Source organism: Homo sapiens, chromosome 13 (genome assembly GCF_000001405.40).
Source record: "Homo sapiens chromosome 13, GRCh38.p14 Primary Assembly".
Lineage (NCBI taxonomy): Eukaryota > Metazoa > Chordata > Mammalia > Primates > Hominidae > Homo > Homo sapiens.
In genome coordinates, this window is record NC_000013.11 from 99,154,651 (window position 1) to 99,177,075 (window position 22,425).

General features: G+C 44.3%; 1 pseudogene, besides 3 other annotated features; it reads left to right on the forward strand.

Annotated features, from left to right (window-relative positions):
* Positions 4,294–5,493: an enhancer, noted in NCBI's record as "CDK7 strongly-dependent group 2 enhancer chr13:99811198-99812397 (GRCh37/hg19 assembly coordinates)". NCBI's record gives its function as "activates an origin of replication core promoter dependent on BRD2, BRD4, P300/CBP, MED14 and CDK7 cofactors, with strong dependence on CDK7, by STARR-seq in HCT116 cells {active_cell/tissue: HCT116}" and the evidence as "EXISTENCE:reporter gene assay evidence [ECO:0000049][PMID:35650434]".
* Positions 18,015–18,516: an enhancer, noted in NCBI's record as "H3K4me1 hESC enhancer chr13:99824919-99825420 (GRCh37/hg19 assembly coordinates)". NCBI's record gives its function as "activates a minimal SCP1, AML or CMV promoter by ChIP-STARR-seq in primed H9 embryonic stem cells {active_cell/tissue: H9 hESC(primed)}" and the evidence as "EXISTENCE:reporter gene assay evidence [ECO:0000049][PMID:30033119]".
* Positions 18,904–19,841, forward strand: RPS6P23 (ribosomal protein S6 pseudogene 23; annotated as a pseudogene).
* Positions 22,336–22,425: an enhancer, noted in NCBI's record as "active region_7928". NCBI's record gives its function as "activates an Ori minimal core promoter by ATAC-STARR-seq in GM12878 lymphoblastoid cells {active_cell/tissue: GM12878}" and the evidence as "EXISTENCE:reporter gene assay evidence [ECO:0000049][PMID:35858748]".

Genomic DNA, 22,425 nt, shown 5'->3' on the forward strand with positions numbered 1-22,425 from the left:
AAGATATCAGGGGTCAACATCCTTAAAGAAAAGTGGTTCCTTGGCACTTTGAGAAGCCAAAGCGGGAGGATCACTTGAGCCCGGGAGTTTGTGACCAGCATGGGCAATAGTGCGAGACCCTTTCTCTACAAAAAACAAACAAACAAACAGCAAAAAAAAACCCATAGTCTTAGCTATTCAAGAGGCTGAGGCGAGAGGGTTGCTTGAAGCCAGGAGTTCGAGGTTGCAGTGAGCTGATTGCACCACTGCATTCCAGCTAGGTTACAGAGTGAGACTCTGCTTCTAAAAAATAATAAAGGACAGTGGGAGAAATTAAGAATAGGTACAGGCCGGGCGTGGTGGCTCACGCCTGTAATCCCAGCACTTTGGGAGGCCGAGACGGGCAGATCATAAGGTCAAGAGATCGAGGCCATCCTGGCTAACACGGTGAAACCCCATCTCTACCGAAAATACAAAAAATTAGCCGGGCGTGGTGGCAGACCCCTGCAGTCCCAGCTACTCCAGAGGCTGAGGCAGGAGAATGGCTGTGAACCTGGGAGGTGGAGCTTGCAGTGAGCCAAGATCGTGCCAGTGCACTCCAGCCTGGGCGACTGAGCAAGACTCCGTCTCAGAAAAAAGAAAAAAGAAAAAAAAAAAAAAACAATAGGTAGAGGTGGGCCGGACATGGTGGCTCACACCTGTAATCCCAGCACTTTGGGAAGCTGAGGCAGGTGGATCATGAGGTCAGGGGATCGAGGCCATCCTGGCTAACACGGTGAAACCCTGTCTCTACTAAAAATACAAAAAATTAGCCGGGTGTGGTGGCGGGCGCCTGTAGTTCCAGCTACTCAGGAGGCTGAGGCAGGAGAATCGCTTGAACCCAGGAGGCAGAGGTCACAGTGAGTCGAGCTCGCATCACAGCACTCCAGCCTGGGTGACAGAGCGAGACTCTGTCTCAGAAAAAAAAAAAAAGAATAGGTAGAGGTGAAGACGTTGAAATGCAATGCAGACCCAACAAAGTCTTGGCCAACCCAGTGAGGAGCTTTGGAGTGAATATTGCCCATTGGAGGTGTATTGCCTTGGCCTGCAATGACTGGGTCTTTATACCCACATCTCACTCACCAGATGTGAGCTGCTCCAAGAAGGGCATGACCCCAGGTGGGGTGACCCCCTGTGTTTGAGGCAGGCCCTAACAAAGCTGCTGGGTGGAGGCTGCCTGCTCACCATGCCCCACCACAGCCGGGCGTCAAGTGCTTCTCAGAAGCAGAGTCCTCCGTCCCCACCCACCAGTCCATATTGGACTGTGGCTCTTTTGGACAAGCCAATGAGATTTGGGTATTATATGTTACAGTAGTAAGCCTCTCCTGACTGACACACACCATACCTCTTAGATTCTGATGAAATTGCCAATGACTCAATAAGTGACGCCTGTCCTGTGTCTGAACCCTGGGTCTGTAGAGCACAGGACACGACTGCTGCTCTTGGATATCTAACACTGGGGCTACTCTTTTTTAAAAATTAGCAAGTAAAACATCATATATATTTATGATGCATAACATGGTGTTTTGATATATGTATATATTGTGGAATGGCTAAATCAAGCTATTTAAATAAAATATGCTTTACTTCATACACTTATCTTTTTTTATAATGAGAACATTTCAAATCCATTCTCTTAGCCAGTTTTGGTAAACAATATATTATTCTCAACTGTGGTCATCACAATGTATAATAGATCTCAAGGCCAGGCGTGGTGGCTTATGCTTGTAATCCTTGCACTTTGGGAGGCCTAGGCAGGAGGATTGATTGAGGCCAGGAGTTCAAGACCAGTCAGGGCAACATAGCCAGAAGTCGTCTCCACAAAAAAAAAAAAAAAAAAAAAAATTAGCCAGGCATAGTGGCACATGCCTATAGTCCTAGCTGAGGCAAGAAGATTGCTTGAACTCAGGAGTTCAAGTCTGCAGTGAGCCAAGTTTGTGCCACTGCACTCCAGTCTGGATGACAGAGCAAGACCCTGTCTCTGAAAAATAAAAAAGAGATGTATTGAACTTATTCCTCCTGTTTAGCTGATAGTATGTGTCGTTTGGCCAACATTTCCCCAATATCCCCAAGCCCAGCCTCTGGTAATCACAGTTTTATTCTCTGTTTCTGTAAGTTGTGACTTCTTTAGATTCCATGTAAGTGAGATTATGTGGCATGTGTTTTTCTGTGCCTGGCTTATTTCACTGAACACAGTGGTCCCCAACCTTTTTGGCACCAGGGACTGGTTTTGTGGAAGATAATTCTTCCACAGACGGGGCAGGCAGGGTGGTTTGGGAATGATTCGAGCACTTTACATTTATTGTGCACTTTATTTCTATTATTACTATATCATAATATACAATGAAATAATTATACAACTCACCATAATGTAGAATCAGTGGGAGCCCTGAGCTTTTTTTCATGCAACTAGATGGTCCCATCTTGGGGTGTTGGAAGACAGTGAGAGATGATCAGGCACTGGATTCTCATAAAGAGTGCACAACCTAGATCACTTGTGTGCGCAGTTCCCAGTAGGGTTTGTGCTCCTGTGAGAATCGAATGCTGCCGCTGATCTGACAGGAGGCGGGGCTTAGGCAAGTAATGAGAGTGATGGGGAGCAGCTGTAAATACAGATGAAGCTTCACTGGCTTGCCCACGGCTCACCTCCTACTGTGTGGCCCAATTCCTAACAGGCAACACAGATCACTACTGATTTGTAGCTCAGGAATTAGGGACCTGACCTAACACAATGTCCTCCAGGTTCATCCATGTTGTCATAAATGACAGAATTTCCTTCTTTTTAAAGGCTGAATAGTATTCCATTGTGTATATATACCATGTTTTATCAGTTATCTTTGTGTTGTGTGTGTGTGTGTGTGTGTGTGTGTGTGTGTGTGTTTTTGAGAGAGAGGGCCTCACTCTGCTGCCCAGGCTGGAGTGCAGTGGCACTATCACAGCTCATTGCAGGCTCAACCTCCTGGGCTTAAGAGGATCCTCCCACCTCAGCCTCCCAAGTAGCTGGGACTACAAATGTGCACCACCACACCTGGCTAAGTTTTGAATTTTTCTGTAGAGATGGGGTCTCACTACATTGCTCAGGCTGGCCTCGATCTTCTGGCTCAAGCCATCCTCCTGCCTCATCTTCCCAAGTGCTGGGATTGCAGGTGTGAGCCACTGCACCCAGTCTCATTTATCTGTTGATGGATACTTAGTTTGATTCCATATCTCAACTACTGTGAATAGTGATGCAATAAAGATGGGAATGCAAATATCTCTTTGACATACTGATTTCATGTCCTGCAGATATACCCAGAAGTGGGATTGCTGAATCTATTTTTTATTTTTTTGAGGGGACCTCCATACTGTTTTCCGTAATGGTTGTACTAATTTACATTCCCACAAACAAGGATTCCCTGTTCTCCACATTCTCAACAACACTTGTTATCTTTTGTCTTTTTTATAATAACCATCCTAACAGGTTTGAGACGATACCCTGCTGTGGTTTTAATTTTAATTTCCCTGATGATTAGTGATACTGAGCATTTTCTTATATACCATTTGGATACTTACATGTCTTATTTTCAGAAGTATCTATTTAGGTCCTTTGACTACTTTTAAATTGGGTGATTTGTTTTCTTTCTATTTTTTTTTTCTTTTTGAGACGAGTCTCACGCTATTGCCCAGGCTGGAGTGCAGTGGCGCAATCTCGGCTCACTGCAACCTCCGTCTCTCGGGTTCAAGCGATTCTCCTGCCTCTGCCTCCCAAGTAGCTGGGATTACAGGCGCCCACCACCATGCCTGGCTACTTTTTGTATTTTTAGTAGAGACAGGGTTTCACCATGTTGGCCAGGCTGGTCTCGAACTCAAGTGATCCACCCGCCTTGGCCTCCCAAAGTGCTGGGATTGCAGGCGTGAGCCACCATGCCTGGTCTGTTTTCTTTCTATTGAGTTGTTTAATTCCTTATATATTTTAGAGATATTATTCTTATCAGATCTATGATTTGCAAATACTTTCTCCCGTGCTGTAGGCTGTCTCAGTCTATTGATTGTGTCCTTTGCTGTGCAGATTTTTAGTTTGATCTAATCCCATTTGTCTATTTTTGCTTTTGTTGCCTGTGCCCTTGGAGTCATATCCAAAGAAATGCCCAGACCAGTATCATGGAGCTTTTCCCCTGCTTTCTTCTAGTAGTTTTGCAGTTTCAGGTCTCCGGTTTGTCTTTAGTCCACTTGGAGTTGATTTTGTATATGGTCTGTGCTATGCTCCTGTGGGCCCCAGGCAAGCCCCTCCAGATGCCGTTGTTATTTCACTGTTCATCAGCGTCCATCAGCCAAGCTGCCTTAACAAGCAATTTCCCCGAGGGCAGTTAGTCCTGTCTCTGAGAAGAGACTCTGACGTTCAGCGCTCCCTGCTTTACTGATGCATCACCTCTGCCTCCTACAACTCTGTTAACACGCCTTTGAGCTTCACTGCCCCCTGGAAAGTGCTCAGAATCTCTCCCACATTTTCTTGAATGTGTACTTTGAGATTAGGAGCTGTCTCTACACAACAGAGCCTGACCCACAGTGCGGAAGCTTTCAATGACATGACCAGCCCACTGGGTTCCCAGAGAAGTAGAAATCGATTTTCATATTCCCCTCAAGTTGTCTTTTGTGTTCCCAGAGAGAGAGATGCACAGATTCATTCCATTTTTGCTGTAGAATGAGTCAGAATATAAACCAATCATTTGAACACAACTGACCAAATTTTCATGTATTAAGCTCAGAAGCCCTCAGTAGATTTAGTAAATGAATGGATTTCTCTGGCTTCTCATACTTTCCAAATGTGTGTTTCAATTGACTTGGCTTCACAGATTTTACTGACTCGGCAATACAAGGTGGAGAGAGGTCTGGATATTGTTGTCTGTCTCCTGGAGGCACCTTGATGCTAGATGACCCCATGTGTAAATGTGGGCTGTGATTCGAGGAGTTAGCTGCTGACAGTGCTGTTGAATGAAAATGTTTTGTAGTATTTTGCTTCTGGAAAAAAATGTTTATGGTGGTATGAAAATCAGCCTGGGCCCATGGGCGTGTATTTTTGCTGAAAAGAAACAATTGAGAATCACTGATCTAAATAGCGCTGGATTTCTTGAGGCTTAGCACGCAAACACCTTTGTCCTTTGTATTAATCTCAATTGCTTGTCATGTTATCAGAACTACATTCCTTTTATGTGAAACATCGAGTGACAGATGGCATGGCTCGAAGTCATCATAGAGACATTATAGTTCAATCTCCTCAAGTGACCGCCACAGATCTAATAATGCACAGAACTGGGAAGAAAATCAAAGGTTCTGAGGCAGAAATTTCTAAAAGCTTCCAAAGGAGATGTCATTGCTCTGACATTCACAAATGTAGGCAAATTCATGCCTCTGAGGAGTAAATTGATGCTAGAAGGAATATGATTACATGTAAAAGAACTCCATATGCTATAAAGCACTGTATTAAATGAACGTTATCGTTGCCTCTTTCGTTATAAACATTTATTGAGCATCTGTAATATGCCAGGCACTGTTCTTAGCCATTTAGATTCATCAGGAATCAATTCAAAGTCTGTGAAGCATGAGCTCTAGTGCAGGACACATAATTTAGAATCGATTTCTAATATAAGATCAGGAGGTGACTACGATACTTTGCTATAGAATAAAGCAAGTCAGTGTGTAGAGAGGGACAGGTGCTGCTATTTTACATGATGTGGTCAGGGAAGGCCTCGCCAAGAAGGCAACACTGGAGCGGAGGACTGAGTGGTGGGAAGCAGTGAGCCATGAGGAGACCCAAAGGGATAGGGGAAAGAAGGGGAAAGACATGAACATGGTGTGCTCAGCATACAGCTGTGGCTTCCAGCCATGGGCTGGGACGAGGGTACCTAGAGAGAGAAGGTTGAGAGGATCTGGACAGATAAGAGAGGAAGGGCACTCCCAGGACACTCCATCACTCAGACAGTGCAAAGAGAAGAAAAGCCATCAATGGAAGTCAAGAAGTAGCAACAGGTCAGGTGGGGGCAAAACCTGGAGTCAGATGGGAGACGTTCCTGAAGTCAAGTAAAGAAGCTGTCTCAGAAGGAGACGAGCAAGTGCTTATCCACATAGCAACAAACATTACCATTAGATCCTCACCTTCCCTGACACTCAAAACAGGGCCCCCTTGGATGAAAAACCTAACTGTAAAGGGCAAAACAAAAAACAACTTTTTGAAGGAAATATAGAGGCAGATATTTTTGTGACCTCAACGAATGAAAGCGTGTCTTTAAAAAGACATAAATAGCTCATACCACAAAGGAGGAAAAGTAATACATTTTAAAATTCTGCTCAACCATAAACACCATTACCCATGTGTGGTGGTGTGTGCCTATTCGGGAGGTTGAGGGAGCAGGATTGCTTGGTCCCAGGAGTTCTGAGCTGTAGTGTGCTGTGCTGATGGACTGTACACACCAAGTTCAGCATTAATATGGTGACTTTTCAGGAGCAGGGGGCCACCAGGATGTTGAAGGAGGGGTGTATTAGTACATTCTCACACTGCTAATAAAGACACCTGAGACTGGGTAATTTATAAAGGAGAGAGGTTTAATGGACTCACAGTTCCACATGGCTGGGGAGGCCTCACAATCATGATGGAAGGCGAATGAGGCGTAAAATCATGTTTTACATGGTGGCAGGCGAGACAGCTTGTGCAGGGGAACTGCCCTTTATAAAACCATCAGATCTCGTGAGACTTATTCACTATCATGAGAACAGCATGGGAAAAACCCACCCCCATGATTCAATTACCTCCCACTGGGTCCCTACCACAACACATGGGAATCACAGGCGCTACAATTCAAAATGAGATTTGGATGGGGACACAGACAAACTATATCAAGGAGTGAACTGGCTCAGGTTAGAACCAGAGAAGGTCAAAACTCCCATTCTAATTAGTAGTGGAATCACACCTGTGAATAGCCACTGCACTCCAGCCTGGACAACATAGTGAGACCCTGTCTCTTAGCAAACAAACAAACAAACCAAAACACCATTGAAAAAGCAAAATGAGGCCAAGCATATTGGCTGACACCTGTAATCCCAGCATTTTGGGAGGCCAAGGCAGGAGGATTGCTTGAGCTCAAAAGTTCCAGACCAGCCTGGGCAACATAGTGAGACCCTGTCCCTACGAAAAAATATTTTAAATTAGCCAAGCATGGTAGCACATGCCTGTAATCCTGGCTACTCAGGAGGCTGAGATAGGAGGATCAATTGATCCTGGGAGGTTGAGGCTGCAGTGAGCTGCAAGTGAGACCCTGTCACAAAAAAAAAAAAAAAAAAAAAGAAGAAAAGAAAATATACTCAAAAACAATGAGAAGTGCTACTAAAAACAACAGATATAGGAAACAATAGAGATAGGATATTAAAGAAAGGAGTGCATTACACATACATACGTAGAAAAAGCATTATCCTCCTAACAGCATTAAGGGTTTGAAATTACATATTGGTAGCCTGATTCTTTTATTTTTAATGCCTAATCCACTGTCCTTAGATCTAGCTTGGAAGTAAGTAGCCTCTTCTTTTACATCAAGAGCCTCTACTTTATACAAATCATTCTACATTCTCCAAATCAATTTTGAGGCACTAGAAATATTTTGCTGGTTCTATGGTATTTCAAAAGGATTTTCTTATTATTGTTCCCATACTTTGCTCTTTTATCTATGTTGCTTCCAATTTCATCTGACTAGAATGTGTTCCAGTGTCCTAAAGTAAAACAAGGTCAGTCCACACAAAGTTTTTGTTCTAAAAATTTCTACTCTTGTTCTATTGTGGGAGGGGGAGTTGCAAGTGTGGAGATCTGTGACCTGGTGTTTTTTTTGTTTTTTTTTTTTCTGATCTTGTTTTTATGTCATAGGTCAGGAACTCTAGCATTTTTCTGCCTCTGAGCCAGAGAGAAGAAAGAAAAATGTAACATGAGTTTGGTGCAAACTGCCTCCAGTGAGGGACAGGGTCATTTCTTGACCCCAAAGTGTATCGGGTCATATTCCTTCAAAGTGTCCTCTGGTCGTCACTGCTTTGAAATAGAGAAGAGATAACCATGGACAGGTCTGAGGGTGGTGGTGACGTTCGGCAGCAGAGCGGAGGGAGGTGGGAGCAGAATTCCAAGCAGAAAACCTGGACTGGCCACCCGTGCTGCAGCCTGCACCCAGCAGGGCCAAGGCACTTCTGTGTGAATTCAGGTTAATTGCTGCTAAAATTATACTGGATTTTTTTTCACTTTATTGTCATAAGAAAAAAATCTAGGAAATTCTGTAATTAACTGCTCAGTGGAAGAAATACAATTAGGAAGGCTTTAGCGCTTGTCCGAAGCCAGCCCTGTGAAAGTGAATTCTCTTTCCTTGAAGACTCAGGCCTGCCCCGTTTTGGAGCTGATGTTTATGAGCGCATGTGTGCATCTGTGTATCTTTCCTCACTTCCAACACCATCACCACCAATTCAGGCAAAAACTTGTTGTGAGGCCAGACATCGTGGCTCATGCCTATAATCCCCGTAGCTTAGGAGGCTGAGGTGAGAGGATCACTTGAGGCCAAGAGTTCAAGACCAGCCTGGGCAACATAGCAAGACCCTGTATCTACAAAAAAATTTAAAAATGAGCCAGGTGTGGTGACTACTTTGGGAGGCTGAGGTGGGAGGAGTTCGAGGCTGCAGTGAGCTATGATTGCACCACTATACTCCAGCCTGGGTAACAGAGTGAGACCCCATCTCAAAAACATTTTTTAATTAAAAAAAAAAAAGTGGCCGGGCGCGGTGGCTCACGCCTGTAATCCCAGCACTTTAGGAGGCTGAGGTGGGTGGATCATGAGGTCAGGAGATCGAGACCATCCTGGCTAACATGGCGAAACCCTGTCTCTACTAAAAATACAAAAATTAGCCAGGCGTGGTGGTGGGTGCCTGTAGTCCCAGCTACTCGGGAGGCTGAGGCAGGAGAATGGCCTGAACCCGGGAGGTGGAGCTTGCAGTGAGCCGAGATTGCGCCACTGCACTCCAGCCTGGGCGACAGAGGGAGACTCCGTCTCAAAAAAAAAAAAAAAAAAAAAAGTGCTGTTGAAGGCGTGGCATTTCCTATGTGGAGTACAGACCTTCTTATGGCTGAATTGTATCTCCTTAAAATTCATATGTTGTCAGGTATGGTGGCTCCCGCCTGTAATCCCAGCACTTTGGGAGGCTGAGGCGGGAGGATCACTTGAGCTTAGGAGTGAGAGAACAGCCTGGGCAGCATGACCCCATCTCTACAAAAAAACTTTATAAATTAGCCAGGCATGGTGGCATATGCCTGTGGTCCCAGCTACTTGGGAGGCTGAGGTGGAGGATTGCTTGACTCCAAAAGTTGGAGGCTGCAGTGAGCCAAGATCATGCCACTGCACTCCAGCCTGGGCGACACAGAGAGACCCTGTCTCAAAAAAAAAAAAAAATCGTATGTTGATGCTCTAACCCTCAGTACTTCAGAATGTGACTGTTTTTGGAGACAGGGTCATTAAAGAGGTAATTAAGGTTAAATGAGGACATTGGGGTGAGCCATGATCCAATATGACTGGTGTCCTAATAAGAAGAGATTTTGACACAGACACACACACAGACAAAGCTTGTGAAGACACAGGGAGAAGACAGCCTTGGTCAGGCAAGGAGAAAGGCCTCGGAGGAAACCAGCCCTGCCAGTACCTGATCGCAGACTTCGGCCTCCAGAACTGTGAGGAAACAAATTTCTGTTGTTGAAACCACTCAGTCTGTGGTCCTTTGTTATGGCAGCCCTAACAATCCAACATAGGTCCCAAACATTCGGTCCCACCAAGTAACAGCTTTTCCTCTCTCCTCCCCATTCACCAGCCCATGAATGGGCTTCTGTTTGGAGCTGTCCTAAACCCATCCCTTAATGAAGAGCCAATAAACGTTTTCTGTAGACAGTAAATATTTTAGGCTCTGAATGCCAAGAGGCAAGAGAAGAATGTTCTGTCAGCATTTCTGTGAGCATTTAGAATGGTTACCTGCGTATTCTTGTGCTCCCATGTTCGTTACAGCACTATTTACAATAGCCGGAGGTGCAAACACTCTAAGTGTCCATCAACAGATGGATGAGAAGAGCAAAAAGCGGTAGAGGCATACTATGGAATAGTATTCAGCCTTAAAAAGGAAGGAAAGGAAATTCTGCCAGGTGCAGTGGCTCACACCTGTAATCCCAGCACTTGGGGAGGCTGAGGTGGATGGATCACCTGATGTTGGGAGTTTGAGACCAGCCTGACCAATAGAGTGAAACCCCATCTCTACTAAAAATACAAAAATTAACTGGGCTGTGGTGGTGCACACCTGTAATCCCAGCTACTCAGGAGGCTGAGGAGGGAAAATCGTTTGAACCTGGGAGGCGGAGTTTGCAGTGAGCCCACATTGCACCACCACACTCCAGCCTGGGAGACAGAGTGAGACCCTGTCTCAAAAAAAAGTAAAGAAATTCTGGCACACGCCACCATATGGATGAACCTTGAAAACATTAAGCAAAATGTTTGACTAAGCAAAGTGAAAAAAGCCAGACACAAAAGAACAAATACTGGGTAATTCCACTTATATGAGGTTCCTAGAATAGGCAAATTGTAGAGACAGAAAGTAGAATAGTGGTTAGCAAGGGCCAGGTAGAGAAGGAATTATTGTTTAATGGGTACAGAGTCTTAGTTTGGGATGATGAAAAAGTTCTGGAAATAGTGGTGATGGTTGCACAACATTATGAATGTACTTAATGCCACTAAACGGTACACTTTGAAATGGTCAAAATGGTAAATTTTATGTTATGTATAGTTTACCACAATAAAAAAATGCTATTTGTAAGAGTGTATCCATTAAAAAAATATAAAACCATGGGAGGCCGAGGCAGGCAGATCACTTAAGGTTAGGTGTGCAAGACCAGCCTGGCCATCATGGTGAAACCCCATCTCTACTAAAAATACAAAAATTAGCCAGGTGTGGTGGCACGTACTTGTAGTCCCAGCTACTCAGGAGGCTGAGGCAGGAGAATCGCTTGAACCCAGGAGGCAGAGGTTGCAGTGAGCTGAGATCACGCCACTGTACTCCAGCCTGGATGACATTGGCCCATGGACTTCAGTTTGTCACCCCTGCCCTAAATAGGGACTTAATTTTCCTTTAGCAAAGACTGAGAGAACTTCCTCAAAACAGAACACCCATGACTGCAACACTGTCGTCGAGCATTGTAACAACTGTAACTACTGACTGGAATGACCTCTCACTTTGCCCCTTCTAGCTTGCATGCTTTGGGTATTAAATCAAGCCTGAATTTCTTAGCTTCCCCAGACCTTCTTGGTTGTTCACTTCTGGGGATAACCCTGCACCTGGGTGGTTGCCCAACAGCAGGACTTCTGGGCCTGTTTTGTCTCTTTCCCCATTAGCTTGCAAGGGTGAGGTCTCTGTGTGCATTGGGGCCTAATCCATGGAGGCTATGCATGGAGATGGTTGAAGGCTTTGCTGGGGAAATGACTCATTCAAGGAAGATACAAACAAGTTAAAGAATATGATTTTGGTTTGATTGTAACAGAATAACCACTTAATACCTGAAATAAGGAAACAAAGCTGAATGTATTGTTTCCCACAGGAAGGGAGAGCTATGCTGGTTACGCTCCATCTCTCTGAGCAGAGTATTAACTTATATAGGGTTTTGGAGGGTGTGGAGCTCAGGAGTTGGAGGCCTTCCAGAGGCATAAGTTGGGTGGCAGCCTCCCTGGAAGGGTGGTTGCTGCCTGAGCTATTGTTGATTGGTTGGCTCCCACGGATGTGTTTAAGTGAGCCAGTCACATCAGAAGATGATTGGTTAGCTTGTGAAAGGTAACCAAGTCCTCACGGATGGATTGAACAGATGGGAAACTGGTTCTGGTGGCTGCTTGTTACCATGGCTAGGGACTAATCCATTTTTTTTATTATACTTTAAGTTCTAGGGTACATGTGCACAACGTGCAGGTTTGATATGTAGGTATACACGTGCCATATTGGTTTGCTGCACCCATCAACTTGTCATTTACATTAGGTATTTCTCCTAATGCTATCCCTCCCTCTGCCCCCCACCTTCTGACAGGCCCTGGTGTGTGATGTTCCCTGCCCTGTGTCCAAGTGATCTCATTGTTCAATTCCCACCTATGAGTGAGAACATGTGGTGTTTGGTTTTCTGTCCTTGTGATAGTTTGCTCAGAATGATGGTTTCCAGCTTCATCCATGTCCCTGCAAAGGACATGAACTCATCCTCTTTTATGGCCGCATAGTATTCCATGGTGTATATGTGCCACATTTTCTTAATCCAGTCTATCATTGATAGACATTTGGGTTGGTTCCAAGTCTTTGCTATTGTGAATAGTGCTGCAATAAACATACGTGTGCATGTGTCTTTATAGTAGCATGATTTATAATCCTTTGGGTGTATGCCCAGTAATGGGATGGCTGGATCAAATGGTATTTCTAGTTCTAGATCCTTGAGGAATCGCCACACTGTCTTCCACAATGGTTGAACTGGTTTACAGTCCCACCAACAGTGTAAAAGCATTCCTATTTCTCCACATCCTCTCCAGCACCTGCTGTTTCCTGACTTTTTAATGATCATCATTCTAATTGGTGTGAGATGGTATCTCATTGTGGATTTGATTTGCATTTCTCTGATGGCCAGTGATGATGAGCATTTTTTCATGCATCTGTTGGCTGCATAAACGTCTTCTTTTGAGAAGTGTCTGTTCATATCCTTTGCCCACTTTTTGATGGGGTTGATTTTTTCTTGTAAATTTGTTTAAGTTCTTTGTAGATTCTGGATATGTAATAGGTAGATTGTAAAAAATTTTCTCCCATTCTGTAGGTTGCCTGTTCACTCTGATGGTAGTTTCTTTTGCTGTGCAGAAGCTCTTTAGTTTATTTAGATCCCATTTGTCAATGTTGGCTTTTGTTGCCATTGCTTTTGGTGTTTTAGTCATGAAGTCCTTGCCCATGCCTATGGCCTAAATAGTGTTACCTAGGTTTTCTTCTAGGGTTTTTATGGTTTTAAGTCTAACATTTAAGTCTTTAATCCATCTTGAATTAATTTTTGTGTAAGGTGTAAGGAAGGGATCCAGTTTCAGCTTTCTACATATGGCTAGCCAGTTTTCCCAGCACCATTTATTAAATAGGGAATCCTTTCCCTATTTCTTGTTTTTGTCATGTTTGTCAAAGATCAGATGGTTGTAGATGTGTGGTGTTATTTCTGAGGCCTCTGTTCTGTTCCACTGGTCTCTCTGTTTTGGTACCAGTACCATGCTGTTTTGGTTACTGTAGTCTTGTAGTATAGTTTGAAGTCAGATAGCGTGATGCCTCCAGCTTTGTTCTTTTTGCTTAGGATTGTCTTGGCAATGTGGGCTCTTTTTTGGTTCCATATGAACTTTAAAGTAGTTTTTTCCAATTCTGTGAAGAAAGTTGTTGGTAGCTTGATGGGGATAGCACTGAATCTATAAATTACCTTGGGCAGTATGGCCATTTTCATGATATTGATTCTTCCTATCCATGAGCATGGAATGTTCTTCCATTTGTTTGTGTCCTCTTTTATTTCGTTGAGCAGTGGTTTGTAGTTCTCCTTGAAGAGGTCCTTCACATCCCTTGTAAGTTGGATTCCTAGGTATTTTACTCTTTTTAGCAATTGTGAGTGGGAGTTGACTCATGATTTGGCTCTCCGTTTGTCTATTAGTGGTGTATAGGATTGCTTGTAATTTTTGCACATTGATTTTGTTTAAAAAACAAAACCTCTTTTTTTTGTGAAAAAAAGAGAAAAAAAATTCTCTTTCTTTGTTGTGTCTCTGCCAGTTGATTGATTGTATCCTGAGACTTCGCTGAAGTTGCTTATCAGCTTAAGGAGATTTTGGGCTGAGATGATGAGGTTTTCTAAATACACAATCATGTCATCTGCAAACAGGTACAATTTGACTCCCTCTTTTCCTAATTGAATACCCCTTATTTCTTCTTTTTGCCTGATTGCTCTGGCCAGAACTTCCAACACTATGGTGAATAGGAGTGGTGAGAGAGGGCATCCTTGTCTTGTGCTAGTTTTCAAAGGGAATGCTTCCAGTTTTTGCCCATTCAATATGATATTGGCTGTGGGTTTGTCATAAATAGCTCTTATTATTTGGAGATACGTCCTATCAATACCTAGTTTATTGAGAGTTTTTAGCATGAAGGGCTGTTGAATTTTGTTGAAGGCCTTTTCTGCATCTATCGAGATAATCATGTGGTTTTTGTTGTTGGTTCTGTTTATGTGATGGATTATGCTTATTGATTTGCATATGTTGAACCAGCCTTGCATCCCAGGGATGAAGCCAACCTGATCGTGGTGGATAAGCTTTTTGATGTGCTGCTGGATTCGGTTTGCCAGCATTTTACTGAGGATTTTTGCATCGATGTACATCAGGGATATTGGTCTAAAATTCTCTTTTTTTGTTGTGTCTCTGCCAGACTTTGGTATCAGGATGATGTTGGCCTCATAAAATGAATTAGGGAGGATTCCCTCTTTTTCTATTGATTGGAATAGTTTCAGAAGGAATAGTACCAGCTCCTCTTTGTACCTCTGGTAGAATTCAGCTGTGAATCCGTCTGGTCCTGGACTTTTTTTGGTTGGTAGGCTATTAATTATTGCCTCAATTTGAGAGCCTGTTATTGGTCTACTCAGGGATTCAACTTCTTCCTGGTTTAGTCTTGGGAGCCTGTATGTGTCGAGGAATTTATCCATTTCTTCTAGATTTTCTAGTTTATTTGCATAGAGGTGTTTATAGTATTCTCTGATGGTAGTTTGTATTTCTGTGGGATCAGTGGTGATAACCCTTTTATCATTTTTTATTGCGTCTGTTTGATTCTTCTCTCTTATCTTCTTTATTAGTCTTGCTAGCAGTCTATCAATTTTGTTGATCTTTTCAAAAAACCAGCTCGTGGATTCATTGATTTTTTGAAAAGTTTTTGTGTTTCCATCTCTTTCAGTTCTGCTCTGATCTTAGTTATTTCTTGCCTTCTGCTAGCTTTTGAGTTTGTTTGCTCTTGCTTCTCTAGTTATTTTAACTGTGATGTTAGGGTGTCGATTTTAGATCTTTCCTGCTTTCTCTTGTGGGCATTTAGTGCTATAAATTTCCCTCTACATACTGCTTTAAATGTGTCCCAGAGATTCTGGTATGCTGTGTCTTTGTTCTCATTGGTTTCAAAGAACACCTTTATTTCTGCCTTCATTTCGTTATTTACCCAGTAGTCATTCAGGAGCAAGTTGTTTAGTTTCCACGTAGTTGTGTGGTTTTGAGTGAGTTTCCTTTTTTTTTAGACAGAGACACTGTCCCCCAGGCTGGAGTGCAGTGGCGCGATCTCAGCTCACTGCAAGCTCTGCTTCCCGGGTTCACGCCGTTCTCCTGCTTCAGGCTCTCAAGTAGCTGGGACTACAGGTGCCTGCCACCACGCCCAGCTAATTTTTTTTTTTGTATTTTTAGTAGAGATGGGGTTTCACCATGTTAGCCAGGATGGTCTCGATCTCCTGACCTCATGATCCACTCGCCTTGGCCTCCCAAAGTGCTGGGATTATAGGCATGAGCCACCGCCCCTGGTTTGAGTGAGTTTCTTAATCCTGAGTTCTAATTTGATCACACTGTGGTCTGAGAGACAGTTTGTTGTGATTTCTGTTTCTTTACATTTGCTGAGGAGTGCTTTACTTCCAATTATGTGGTCAATTTTGGAATAAGTGTGATGTGGTGCTGAGAAGAATATATATTCTGTTGATTTGGGGTGGAGAGTTCTGTAGATATCTATTAGTCTGCTTGGTGCAGAGCTGAGTTCAAGTCCTGGATATCCTTGTTAACCTTCTCTCTCGTTGATCTGTCTAATATTGACAGTGGGGTGTTAAAGTCTCCCAATATTATTGTGTGGGAGTCTAAGTCTCTTTGTAGGTCTCTAAGGACTTGCTTTATGCATCTGGGTGCTCCTGTATTTGGTGCATACATATTTAGGAAAGTTAGCTCTTCTTGTTGAATTGATCCCTTTACCATTATGTAATGGCCTTCTTTGTCTCTTTTGATCTTTGTTGGTTTAAAGTCTGTTTTATCAGAGACTAGGATTGCAACCCCTGTTTTTTTTGGTTGTTTTTTTTTTTTTTTGCTTTCCATTTCCTTGGTAGATCTTCCTCTATCCCTTTCTTTTGAGCCTATGTGCATCTTTGCACGTGAGATGGGTCTCCTGAATACAGCACACTGATGGGTCTTGACTCTATCCAATTTGCCAGTCTGTGTCTTTTAATTGGGGCATTTAGCCCATTTACATTTAAGGTTAATATTGTTATGTGTGAATTTGATCCCGTCATTATGATGTTAGCTGGTTATTTTGCCCATTAATTGATGCAGTTTCTTCACAGCATTGATGGTCTTTACAATTTGGCTTTTTTTTTTTTTTTTTTTTTTTTTTTTTTGAGATGGAGTCTCACTCTGTTGCCTAGGCTGGGGAGCAGTGGCACAATCTCGGCTCACTGCAAGCTCCGCCTCCTGGGTTCACACCATTCTCCTGCCTCAGCCTCCCGAGTAGCTGGGACTACAGGCACCCGCCACCACGCCCGGCTAATTTTTTTGTATTTTTTAGTAGAGATGGGGTTTCACTGTGTTAGCCAGGATGGTCTCGATCTCCTGACCTCATGATCCACCTGCCTTGGCCTCCCAAAGTGCTGGGATTACAGGCATGAGCCACCACACCTGACCCCAATTTGGCATGTTTTTGCAGTGGCTGGTACTGGTTGTTTCTTTCCATGTTTAGTGCTTCCTTCAGGAGCTCTTGTTAAGGCAGGCCTGGTGGTGACAAAATCTCTCAGCATTTGCTTGTCTGTAAAGGATTTGGTTTCTCCTTCACTTATGAGGCTTAGTTTTGTGAGATATGACATTCTGGGTTGAAAATTCTTTTCTTTAAGAATGTTGAATAGTGGCCCCCATTCTCTTCTGGCTTGTAGGGTTTCTGCTGAGAGATCCGCTATTAGTCTGATGGACTTCCTTTGTGGGTAACTCAACCTTTCTCTCTGGCTGCCCTTAACATTTTTTCCTTCATTTGAACCTTGGTGAATCTGACAATTATGTGTCTTGGGGTTGCTCTTCTCGAGGAGTATCTTTGTGGTGTTCTCTGTATTTCCTGAATTTGAATGTTGGCTTGCTTTGCTAGCTTGGGGAAGTTCTGCTGGGTAATATCCTGAAGAGTGTTTTCCAACTTGGTTCCATTCTCCCCATCACTTTTAGGTACACCAGTCAAATGTAGATTTGGTCTTTTCACATAGTCCCATGTTTCTTGGAGGCTTTGTTCATTTCTTTTTACTCTTTTTTCTCTAACCTTGTCTTCTCGCTGTATTTCATTAATTTGATCTTCAATCCCTGTTACCCTTTCTTCCACTTGATCGAATCAGCTATTGAAGCTTGTGCATGCGTCATGAAGTTCTCGTGCCATGGTTTTCAGCTCCATCAGGTCATTTAAGGTCTTCTCTACACTGTTTATTCTAGTTAGTCATTCACCTAACCTTTTTTCAAGGTTTTTAGCCTCCTTGCGATGGGTTCAAACATACTCCTTTAGCTCAGAGAAGTTTGTTATTACCAACCTTCTAAAGCCTACTTCTGTCAAGTCGTCAAAGTCATTCTCCATCTGGCTTTGTTCCATTGCTAGCGAGGATCTGCAATCCTTTGGAGGAGAAGAGGCACTCCGATTTTTAGAATTTTCAGCTTTTCTGCTCTGGTTTCTCCCTATCTTTGTGGTTTTATCTACCTTTGGTCTTTGGTGTTGGTGACCTACACATGGGGTTTTGGTGTGGATGTCTTTTTTGTTAATGTTGATGCTATTGCTTTCTGTTTGTTAGTTTTTCTTCTAACAGTCAGGTCCCTCAGCTACAGGTCTATTGGAGTTTGCTGGAGGTCCACTCCAGACCCTGTTTGCCTGGGTATCACCAGTGGAGGCTGCAGAACAGCAAATATTTCAGAACAGCAAATATTGCTGCCTGATCCTTCTTCTGGAAGCTTCGTCCCAGAGGGGCACCCACCTGTCGGCTCCTACTGGGAGGTGTCTCCGAGTCAGGATACACGGGGGTCAGGGACCCACTTGAGGAGGCAGTCTGTCCGTTCTCAAACGCTGTGTTGGGGAGAACCACTGCTCTCTTCAGAGCTGTCAGACAGGGATGTTTAAGTCTACAGAAGTTGTCTACTGCCTTTTGTTCAGCTAAGCCCTGACCACAGAGGTGGAGTCTAGAGGCAGTAGGCCTTATTGAGCTGTGGTGGGCTGCACCCAGTTTGAGCTTCCCGGTCGCTTTGTTTACCTACTCAAGCCTCAGCAATGGCAGACGCCCTCCCCGAGCCAGGCTGCAACCTCGCTGTTCAATCTCAGACTGCCGCTCTAGCAGTGAGCAAGGCTCCATGGACGTGGGACCCGCCCAGCCAGGCACGGGAGAGAATCTCCTTGTCTGCCGGTTGCTAAGACCTTGGGAAATGCACAGTATTTGGGTGGGAGTGTCTCGTTTTTCCAGGTACAGTCTGTCACAGCTTCCCTTGGCTAGGAAAGGGAAATTCCCCGACCGCTTGCGCTTCCTGGGTGAGGCGACACACCGCCCTGCTTCAGCTCGCCCTCCGTGGGCTGTACCCACTGTCCAACCAGTCCCAGTGAGATGAACCAGGTACCTCAGTTGGAAATGCAGAAATCACCCATCTTCTGCGTCAATCACACTGGGAGCTCCAGACCGGAGCTGTTCCTATTTGGCCATCTTGGAAAGGATCTCAGGAATAATCCATTTTTTAATGGCTTGTGGGAACTTTTAAACCCTGATATAATCTGTGTAGCTGTCTCACTAGCCATCAAAAATCTGTCTTTTCTTTTTCGTGGGGACTTGGAGGTGATCAGCTGCTTCAAGATGAAGCTGATCTTCCCAGCCACAGGCTGCCAGGAGCTCATTGAAGTGGATGATGAACACGAACTTTGGACCAATTTTGAGAAGTGTATTCTGATGCTCTGGGTGAAAAGAACAGAAGGGTTATGTGGTCCAAGACAGTGAGGGGAACAACAAGCAAGTCTCCCCCAAGAAGCAAGATGTCCTGACCATGGCCGTGCCCATGTGCCATTGCGTAAGGGGCATTCTTGTTAGAGACCAAGGAGAACTGGAGAAAGGAGGCACAAGTCTGCTGGGTGTGGTGGCTCTTGCCTGTGATCCCAGCTACTAGGGAAACTGAGGTAAGAGGATTGCTTGAACCCAGGAGTTCAAGGCTGCAATGAGCTGTGATCACACTACTGCACTCTATCTTGGGTGACAGAGTGAGACCTTTTATCTTAAAAAAATTTTTAAAGAAAATTCAAGTCTGTTCTGGATTGCACTACGGATGCCAATCTGAGTGTTCTCAATTTAACTATCAGCTAAAAAGGAAAGAAGAATATTCCTGGACTGACTGATGCTACTGGGCCTCTATCCTGGGGCTCAGAACAGATAGCAGAATCCACAAACATTTCCATCTTCCTTAAGAAGATCATGAACACCAGTGTTTTGTGAGAAAGCCCCTAAACAAAGAAAGTAAGAGACCTGGGAGTAAAGCACCCAAGATTCAGTCTTGTTATTCCATGTGTCCAGCAACACAAATGTACGTCTATTGCTCTGAAAAAACAGCATATTTAGGAAAATAAGAGGTTGCAGAGCAGAACATGCTGAACTTTTGGTCAAGAGAATGCAGGAGGTCAAACAAATTGCCAAGAACAGATAGCCAAGAGACAGAGCTGTCCTCTTTGATAAATTCTACCTCCAAGTTTAAGTCTTGTCAAAACAAACAAACAAAAAAGAGATTTTTCTAAGAATAACAAACAATAAAATCACACATCAAGAAACAAAACAAACCCCAGCCTGCCTTATTCTTCAGGGCAAAGACTCCCAATTGCCTACCTAATATCCATTCTCTCCTTCTTCCTTTCTAAAAGAACCATGTTTTTGCTCAGGATCGCAAGGCTCCTGACAACTGCATTTCCCAATCGTGCATGTTGGGTTCAGCATGTGACTCAGTTCCAACCAATGAGGTGTGAGTAGAATCATTGGGTGCCACCCCAGGAAAGCTTCTTAAAAGGAGATCAGGGCAGTTGGCATGCCCCTTTCCTCCTCCCTGCCTGGAAGGGGTCCCAATGTCTGGGGGGCAGAAGCCATCTTGGATTCATGAGACCCAAGGCCACACCCCAGTGATGGCAGAGTGAAAGAGAGCAAGATCCTGAATTAGGTGGAGCTGTTGCATCAGCTCTGGGCTGCCTGCCTCCTGACTTGTATTTGGATGGACTATTGTGAGTTGAATTTTCTGTTAAGTGCACCTATTGCCAACCCACAAACCTGCCCTTTGGTTTTCATTATCTCTGCATGTCCCAATCATATCAATGGCTCCCATTGTGTGTTCATTGTATAGCAGGGGACTCAGCGCACCACACAACGTAATATATTGTTAAGACGCATTTATTGACTGTGTGATTCCCAGGTCAGGTTTTATGTTCCTCCTGATATGAGGCAGTGAGAAGTACAAACCATCACCTACAAAGTATATTTGATCTGAATCCAAACATGAAGCAACTATTATACGAATTCAGCATGGAGCGGGGGACAATCTAGTAAACTCACCTGAACCCCAAAAGTTCCATGTGACCAAAAAAACCCAAGAAGGTAGTAGTAAGGGGGTACTATTCTAGATTAAAAGAGGCTAAAGAAAAATAATTAATGAGTAATTAATACCTGGGTGACAAAAGAATCTGTACAACAAAATCCCATGACACAAGTTTACCTATACAATAAACCTACAGGCTGGGTGCAGTGGCTCACGCCTGTAATCCCAGCACTTTGGGAGCCCAAGGCAGATGGATAACGAGGTCAGGAGATCGAGACCATCCTGGCTAACATGGTGAAATCATGTCTCTATTAAAAATACGAAAAATTAGCTGGGCATGGTGGCACGTGCCTGTAAGTCCCAGCTACTCAGGAGGCTGAGGCAGGAGAATCACTTGAACCTGGGAGGTGGAGGTTGCAGTGAGCTGAGATCACACCACTGCACTGCAGCCTGGGCGACAGAGCCCGAATCTCTCTCAAAAAAAATTAAAACATAAAAAATAAAAAATAAACCTACACATGTAACCCTGAGAGACTGGAGGATCACCTGAGGGCAGGAGTTCAAGACCAGCTTCGCCAACATGGTGAAACCCTGTCTCTACTAATAATACAAAAACTAGCTGGGTGTGGTGGGTGCCTGTAGTCCCAGCTACTCAGGAGGCTGAGGCAGGAGCATCACTTGAATCCGGGAGGCAGAGGTTGCGGTGAGCCGAGATCACGCCATTGCACTCCAGCCTGGGTGACAAGAGTGAAACTCCATCTAAAAAAAAAAGAAAAGAAAAGAGAAGTTAAAATTTAAAAGGAAACATAACAATTAAACGCAATATGTGTACCTCAGATGGATCCTGCATCAAAAAACAAAAGCCATCAGTATCACCCAGGATACCCAGATTCACCTGCCAGAATCCCAGAGGCATCCACGGTGCCTGCATGGTGTGGAAAAGGCTCTTCTCAATGGATGCCTCCCCCATTCAGAATCCCACGCAGACCCCTCCGATCAAGGGAGAAACCTGGAGGGTAGTTGACTCCACAAAGTACTTTACATAGCTGGGCTATAGAAAGAAATCCGGAAGTCTCTTTACCATTCCAAGGATCTCCACAGCCACAGAAGCTTAAGAAGATTCTTAAATCTCCCAGGGTTGCTTCTGCGGGAATTGACGGACCATGGTAAGGAACACCTGGTAATCCTGCCACAAGCCTCTGAAGCCCGCAGGGGTGCTCCTGGCAGGTGAGAGTCTGGGGTGCCTCGCTGGGTGTGCAGCAAAACTCAGCACTGCTGCCACTTGTTGGAACACAGCCAGCGTGGAGCTAGGGCAAGAGAAAGGGGCATGCTTGTGGAACAGCAAACAGCGAATGCGAAGTTACCTCTCATGAGTGGAGACAGCTGGGTATCCCACCTGTGTAGAAACTGGATGTGAGACCATGCAAGGCTAGATGGTCCACTAGGGGGAGGTAGAGTCCCGCGGTGAAGGGCACGAGATCCCGGACGGAGAGCCCGGTTCTACCTCGGCTTCTGCACTTGGCAGGTGGGTGACCGGAGGCTGGACACAACCCCTCTGAGCTTCAGGTTTCTCATCGTAAAATGGAGGTGATAACAGGCTCTACAACACAGGTGTGCTGCGGATCACACACGTGCCTGGCATGCTGAACACACTCCATATTAGCTGTTATATTATCATCTGCTGGAATCAATTCTTTATTCCCGGGACCACCAGAGGGGCAGACCGTCCCTGTTCATATACACCTGTAGTGGGTGTGCAGCAGGGCCGACG